This window comes from Homo sapiens, chromosome 15 (genome assembly GCF_000001405.40).
Source record: "Homo sapiens chromosome 15, GRCh38.p14 Primary Assembly".
Taxonomy (NCBI): domain Eukaryota; kingdom Metazoa; phylum Chordata; class Mammalia; order Primates; family Hominidae; genus Homo; species Homo sapiens.
In genome coordinates this window covers 95,556,794-95,564,187 of record NC_000015.10, presented here as the reverse complement: position 1 = coordinate 95,564,187, position 7,394 = coordinate 95,556,794, and the positions used below count along the sequence as shown (strand labels likewise).

Here is a 7,394-nt window from a genome sequence, read left to right as displayed (position 1 = left end):
TCCACAGGAAAACATGAAGCCAGGGATAGGACCCTTCCTTATTTCCCCAATACCCAGGAGATCAAAAAGGCTGCCCTAAAGACTTTCTGTACCTCTTATAACATGTCATGCTATACAATTGTGACCTACAACAAAGATACATGTGTTCTTGGCCATTTAAGCAGAGTAGTTTTCAGCACCCCGCACTATAATTCCAGAAATGCTTACAAAGCATATCCCTCTCACTTCATCCAGTCAATGGTGCCCTAGTGCCCTCAGGATAAAATCGAAACCTAGTGGCATTCAATCCGGTGCCCTCCTGCCTAACGTCACCTGCTGCCTCTTCTGTTTCCACCTGTACCCTAACCTCTAGCCTCCCTGGATGACTCACAGGAATGGGCCCTAGGCTGTGTTTCTGGGGAGGCTTTGCACAAATGGCTTCTTCTGTCTTTGGCTCAAATGAAATCACTGCCATTGCCATACCAGTTTTGTAAATAAGGAATTCGGCACCTGATACATTATTTGCCCAGGGTCACACTGTGTACTTGAGCTGAGAACTAAACCCAGCTTTGTGTAATTGACAGGGGATGAGCTCTTTACCTCTGGGTTATAACCTCTGAATTTAAAGCACCTCTAACACATTCTGGAACAGTAAGCCCTTAATTAATATTTGTCTCCCTCATCCTAAAAAGAAAATAATTTTATTAGCCTTAGTGATTTATAAATAATTTTATTAGCTCTAGTGATTTGTAAATGAAGAAGTGATTAATGATTAATCCATTCCATATGCATACTTTGCATTTGATACAAAAGTAAATGTAATAGTTTGTTTCTACTGTTAGAATTTTTGGTATAACTTTGGTAATATTTCAGAACATTCAAAACTTGCAAACAGTAATAGAAACATCCCACATTTTCTAGGAACTAGATGCCAGCTATGAGAAACTGGTATTAAGCTAGATTTTACAAGTTTGAAGTTGCATTTGATGTACTTTCTCCTAACATCTCGGCTTTTCTAAGAAATATGTTTTCAGCATATCAAAAGCACGCGTGTTGTCTCTAAGCGTTTCACACTATTCATAATGTAATTTAGATAATAAAACCACTGGGAAAATGGAAACCAATGTAGCTGAATAAATAGAGCTAATCAATCCCATTGTGTTTCTAGAATACAGTTTATTTAATTCATTTTTATTGTGTAAAATTTGGGAAGTACTTAAAAGTATAAAAGAAAACATCCACAATCATATTGCCTACAGATGACTTCCACTGGTATTTTGGTTTCAATCTTTTATTATTTATTTATTTTGCCTTTGTCTCATCATTGAGATCAGTCTGTATACAGTATTTTAAATTTGGCCATACACTTTGAATTTTATTATATGCATTTTCTTTGTTACTAGAAAAAATCTGACAGAGTTTAATGGCTATTTATCGTTCCACTATGAGGATGCTTCATTATTTACTAATCATTTCCCTGTTGTTGATATTTTCTTATATCCAAGTTTTTGCCACTGTAAACAATATAATATTGATCACTATGAGGGCATCAGACACAAAACTTTATTTCTTTACTTAGGATAATTTCCTTGGTCGGCATTTTACATATCTGAATTACTAAATCAGTGGGCTTTATATTATAAAGGCTTCTGATATATGTTGTCCATTTGCTCTATATAAAAAGTAGTTGTTAGTTTACATTCATGCTAGCCGTCTATCTCCTTTAGTCTCTAAGTTTTGTTTTTTAAGTCTATAATTAGAAAACAAAATGTAACAAAACAAAACAAATACAAACTCTTCCTAGGAAAATTCCAATCTGCTATTTTGTGAAGAGGCTGAAATTAAACTGGTTTCTACATGATCCATACTTCATGTGTCTTCTTTCATCAGCAGATAGCATTTTCTTTAATCTCAAGGTTGGGGTAAGGGGGCCTTTGACATGAATCTCTCTGATATACTCTTAAGTAAGAACCAATCTTTGCAGGCCTATGTGAAATTGTCAAGCATGGAGGAAGGAATGAGAATTTGATGGGCACCTATTGTCAATAATTTTATTCTTTAACTTTTCTCTTTTTGTCTCATGATTCTCTGCTCTGCACACTTTCAATTCCAAACACTGTTAGCTGGGTGTTGTAGTCCCAGCTACTTGGTAGGCTGAGTCAAGAGGATTGCTTGAGCCCAGGAGTTTCAAGCTGCAGTGAGCAATGATCACACAACTGTACTTCAGCCTAGGTGACAGAGTGAGACTCTGTCTCTAAATAAATAAAAAATAAAAATAAAAATAAAATAAAACTCTAAACACTTGAGATAGCCAAGCCATAATCCTACAGGGATGCATAATATAATAAATAGTAGGTCCAAAAGGTGTGTGTTTGTGTTTGCACATCTGAAAGCATGGTGTGTGTGTGTGTCTGTGTATGTGTATGTGAGTGTGGAGTAGTGTTTGTCTATTTGTGTATATATGATTGTGAATGAATGGAATGTGTGTGTGCTGGTGTATGTGTGTGTGTGGAGTGATGTGTGTGAGAGAAGGAATGTGAAGTGGTGGTATGTGTGTGTTATGTGTTTGCGTGAAGGAGTGAGTATGGGAGATGTGGTATTACTGGGGAAAAGGTTGAAGTAGGGGAGGAGGAAAAAGATGAGATATGGCCCATACATCATTTAACTTGGAGTTAAAGCATATGATCTCTTGGAAACTAGTTCAAATGTAAACTTTTGACATGATTCTTCACGAGGAATTTCTTCACATTTTCATTTGAACTGCAGTAGATCTGATGCAATGAACTAGCTGCTACATTTGCCTTTTCATAAAGTTTTCTCTCCAAATAGATTTTATTTTTGAGAAGTGTCATTTAACCAAGTTTGCAAAATCACCTGTGCAGGAAATAGAGAAAGATATGGTTGTTTGAGTATTTTAAGAGAAAAGTCACAAAAGTACATTTGACAGTGTGTCAATGCTTATTGGTTTATATATATTCACACATATATATCTCATATATATATATATATATTAGAGAGAGAGAGTTGCAGCTTAGAAGATTTCTAAGTTGTTCACCTTGAGAAACAAAATAAGCTTAAGTTTCCCTGTGAATTTAGTATCTACAAGAACAGTTGACTCTTTGTCCTATAATCGAAAAATAATTCTAGTTGTCTATACATTTAATTTTTTTATTCTCACATAGAATCATAATACTTTGGTTAGCCACATTTGTAGCGCATGTGAAAAATTTCATGTCATCGGAGCATTTCTGTGACTTTCAGTCACGGGTGAAATCTACCCGATATTTTAGTATCCAAATTAGAATCTGGATGATCACACCTGAAGCTTTTTTCATCGAGTTCCATCTCCTCAGTGCTCTGTATTCTGCATTGTTTTCTGAGTCTTAAATTTGCCTCTGTCTTCAAGTCTACTTTTATGCCAGCTAAAATATTAAATCTTATTTTTAATTGGGACAAGTACTATTATCATAGGCTGGAAAACCTTAAACACACTTCATTTTGTGGTGATATGAGTTATATATATTATATTATATACATTATGTATAATGTATATAATACATAATAGAACATTATATATTACATACATAACAATAAATACGTAATGTTATATATTATATTATTTGTTTAATATAAAGTTATACATATATCTATATATGTATATTTATATATATCTATATATCTATAATATAGAGATACATATAAATTCCAAGACTCTCAGTGGATGCCTGTAACTATAGATAGTTACACACTATCTACATATATACACTATCCTATATACACTATATTTTTTCCTATACATGCATGCCTATAATAAAGTGTGATTTATAAATTAGGCACAATAAGAAATTAACAGCAATAATAGTAAAATAGAACAATGACAATAATATGACGTAATAAAAGGTATATGGATGTGGTCTCTCTCTCTTTCTCAAAATATCTTGCTGTACTGTACTCACCCTTTTCTTTGTGATGATGTGAAATATAAAATGTCTATGTCATGAGATAAAGGGATGCATAGCTATAGGCATTGTGACGTAAATGAGCAATTTCAGAAATAAACAATTCATAAATTCTAAATTGTGCCACATTCTGAGTAGTGTGATGAAATCTTGGGCCATCTTGCTCCGTCGCACGTGGGACATGAATCATTTCTTGGAGAAGCAGATCCCGGCTGTCTGCACTGTCTGCCCATGACTCACTTAGTAGCCATCTCTGTTATCAGATTGACTGTCCTGTTGTTGCCGTGCTTGTGTTCAATTAACCTTTCTTTGACTTAATAATGGCCCCAAAGCACACAGGTAGTGATGTCCTATTTTCAGACCCCCATTGACCACAGGTAAGTGAAACTGCGGAAAACAAAATTGTGGATAAACGGGGACTGCTGCACTTGGTTGTATTATAGAAGGGTAGTTTTCACTGTCTTATTCTTATAACCTAGATAAAAAGCAATGGCTTAACAAAATAGTAACAGATAAAATGGATGTGATCATGTGCCTGGCTAAACTCAAAAAGTAGTAAAATGTTTGTAATTAATAAGGCTAATTGACCACATAGAGTCTGAAAATTGATTTCACTGGGGTGGATGCAGAGGGATGGGGTGAACCTCACAAATCTCCTTGCAGGGCACAGGGGACCTTCATTACTAAACGGTATCCTAACCCTTAATATCCCCTCAATCACTTCCTCCAATACCTGCCAGCTACTGGGAAATTGTGCCTTCCCCAGGGCAATTCCTGCACATTCTTTTCCTTATGCCCAAGCCTAACACTTCTCTGCCTGAAATATGAACTCCTCCCCTAAATTCCTACTTTTTCTTTGGAACCTAACTTTCCACTTGACTGGGTCTTCGAAATATCCATGGCTCTCCCCATTGTGATGCCATATAGCTCTTATCTACTGTATTGTAAATATTTCTTTACATGCTAATCAAACTTTAAGAAACTCAAGTAGGAGCTCATAACAAAAATAAGTATTACGTTTAGTTCTTCTTCCTTTTAATACCTGACACTAAGTCTGGAAGACAGCAGCTAATAAATAAATGCTAGCTGAATGAATGATGAAAAAATGAATAACCCTGAGTCAACCATCGTATCTTTAAGAAATTATTATAATAGTAACAACAAGGAGATGACTAATATAATTTTACTAAGTTTAGAAAGCCTTGGAAGGTTAAACTTCATGAGAGCAGTAGTCCTACCAAGTGTTTTATTATATTAGCAATTATCTTTTACATTCTAGTAAAATCCAGGCCTTTATTCATATTTTTCTCTGTGAAAGGTACAATCAATCAATTATGAAGGTGAAATTATGTTGATGCTGAGGCAGTATGGGGAACCCTAAATAGTTGGAGTACTCAAGTCACAGAAAATCATGAAAATGAAGCTCAAGTGATGGATTAGTGAAGACGATAAGTCCCTCAAATTTGAGTTGCAGCGATAAGGGAATTGAGGGGGAAAAAAAAGCTAAGTAGAAACTCACTTGAAAAATGCACTTAAGTCTTCATGATAAAATTTCAAACTTCTTTTATTACTATTCATTTTTATCTAAAAAATCATGTTAGCATTTAGTCCCAAATTTCCAAGCCTTGTGTTCGTCTTTCTCTGCGATGTTATCAGCTGGAAGGGAAAGCTGGCCGTGAAACTGTTATGTTAAGCACTTTTCCACAAGAACTTATTGCTTTAATAAGTAGGGAAAATGCTCTTAAAGAAAAAGAAATGTCATTCAAGATTCATTAGAGGGAAAAAAATAAAAAAGAAACCCATGTGATCCTCCATCGAATTCAGACTTCCTTACCATGGAATACTGAACATACATACCCTGAGGTCTTAACAAAGAGTAGGAGTAAACAGTTACTCATCACTAGAAAGAGAATTGTATATTCTCCGGGACAATGCACTAAGACAAGAGTACATAGACCAGTGTGTACACCAGGCAGTTATTGCCATGTCCCTGTAGACTGGGGATTCCAAGATAAACAATGCCTCACACAGGTAAGCACTCAATAAATATTTTTTGAAAGGATAGATGAACATTAGAAAGCAGTTTAATGCTCTTTAATAACTATAATCCCCCCTTGTAGATCAAACTCTCATCTTATATGAGCTTATGGCAGAAGCCACAATTACTTTTGCACCAACCTAATACATAGAATTAATTTATATCTATAAGAATTCACATATCAGCATAATCTACTGCCTTAGAACCTCATGCCTCTTTAGGAGTTGTTTTATTGCCATTGTCTTACGGTTTTTACCACTTTTGAAACCAATATGTATTAATAACAATAAAGTCACTTTATGACCTCAATGAAAAGATGTGGATTTTTTTTTTCTGACAAGGTGTTTTTTTCCTAATTAACCTTATTTTTAGAACTTGTTTTAAACACATGTGACTAGACATAATCAGCCTATGGTTAAAAATATAATACTATGATGAGTCATGTGGGTAGCAATGAAAGGGAAAAGAGATGACTCACTTTCCCAGCAGTGAGCATTCCTCTTGTCTTCCTGGTTTCTGGCCACCTCCCTCCACTGCCCCATAAAAACCCTGCCTTAGCTAAAGCTAGGCAATTTTTCTCACCTTCCCTCCGAACCTTGTGCTTAGACTACGAAGTTTGGACACTTTGGCATGAGGCTATTTTAAAGTCTGAATCCGATGTGGTAGGAAAAGCAGGTATAGAAACGGACCCCCTACATCCAGATTACATCTGCGAATGAAACCCAATAATGTTCTCAAGTTCAAAGCAATCGCCCACTCACCCGATGGTCTCTTTGGATGATTGAAAATGGCTTAAGCAAGTACATATGGGCTTAAAGAGCCACTCAAAATAACTGAAAAGCAGGTTGTCCACAGAGAAGCCATGTCACTTCGTTGACAAATAAGCGTGGGCTGAGCTGGCAAGGGGCTTCCCGGGGGCTCCTCACCCGCAGGGGGAGAGGAAACGTCGGGTGAGTGTGGGAATAATAAGTGAGCGCGGCGTCCTCTCTGGTTCTACTATTCTATAAATGTTATATTTGTTAGGCGAGCTCCCTCCCTGACCACCCCCCAAGCAGTTCATAGACAATAAAACACCAGGAATCCCTGAAGAGTGGTAAAATGCTGACATGATTTAAGAAGGAAGACTCTGATAAGAAGATAAAAACCTAATAAACAGAGTCTAGAGAACCTTGGTTCGTCTCAGCCGCTTGCCAGTGTAAGCAAAACCCTCCCAAGGAAAACAAAAGGAGCCTTAATGGTAAGGACATTCCACTCGCAGACCATCTGAAGGAGAAAGTTGAGGCCGTGACCTCTGCAGACTGCAGTTATGAGAGCTCGGACAAAAAAATATTTGATTTGGTTCAAGAAGCAAAATCAGTCACTGGATTTTTTAATATCTTTTTTCTTCAATAAAAAAATAATGTATTTTATGTGTGCTT

At 36.1% G+C, this 7,394-nt stretch overlaps 1 annotated feature.

Annotated features, from left to right (window-relative positions):
- Nucleotides 6,294-6,588: an enhancer, noted in NCBI's record as "tiled region #12634; K562 Activating DNase matched - State 5:Enh". NCBI's record gives its function as "activates a minimal TATA promoter and a strong SV40 promoter by Sharpr-MPRA in K562 cells {active_cell/tissue: K562}" and the evidence as "EXISTENCE:reporter gene assay evidence [ECO:0000049][PMID:27701403]".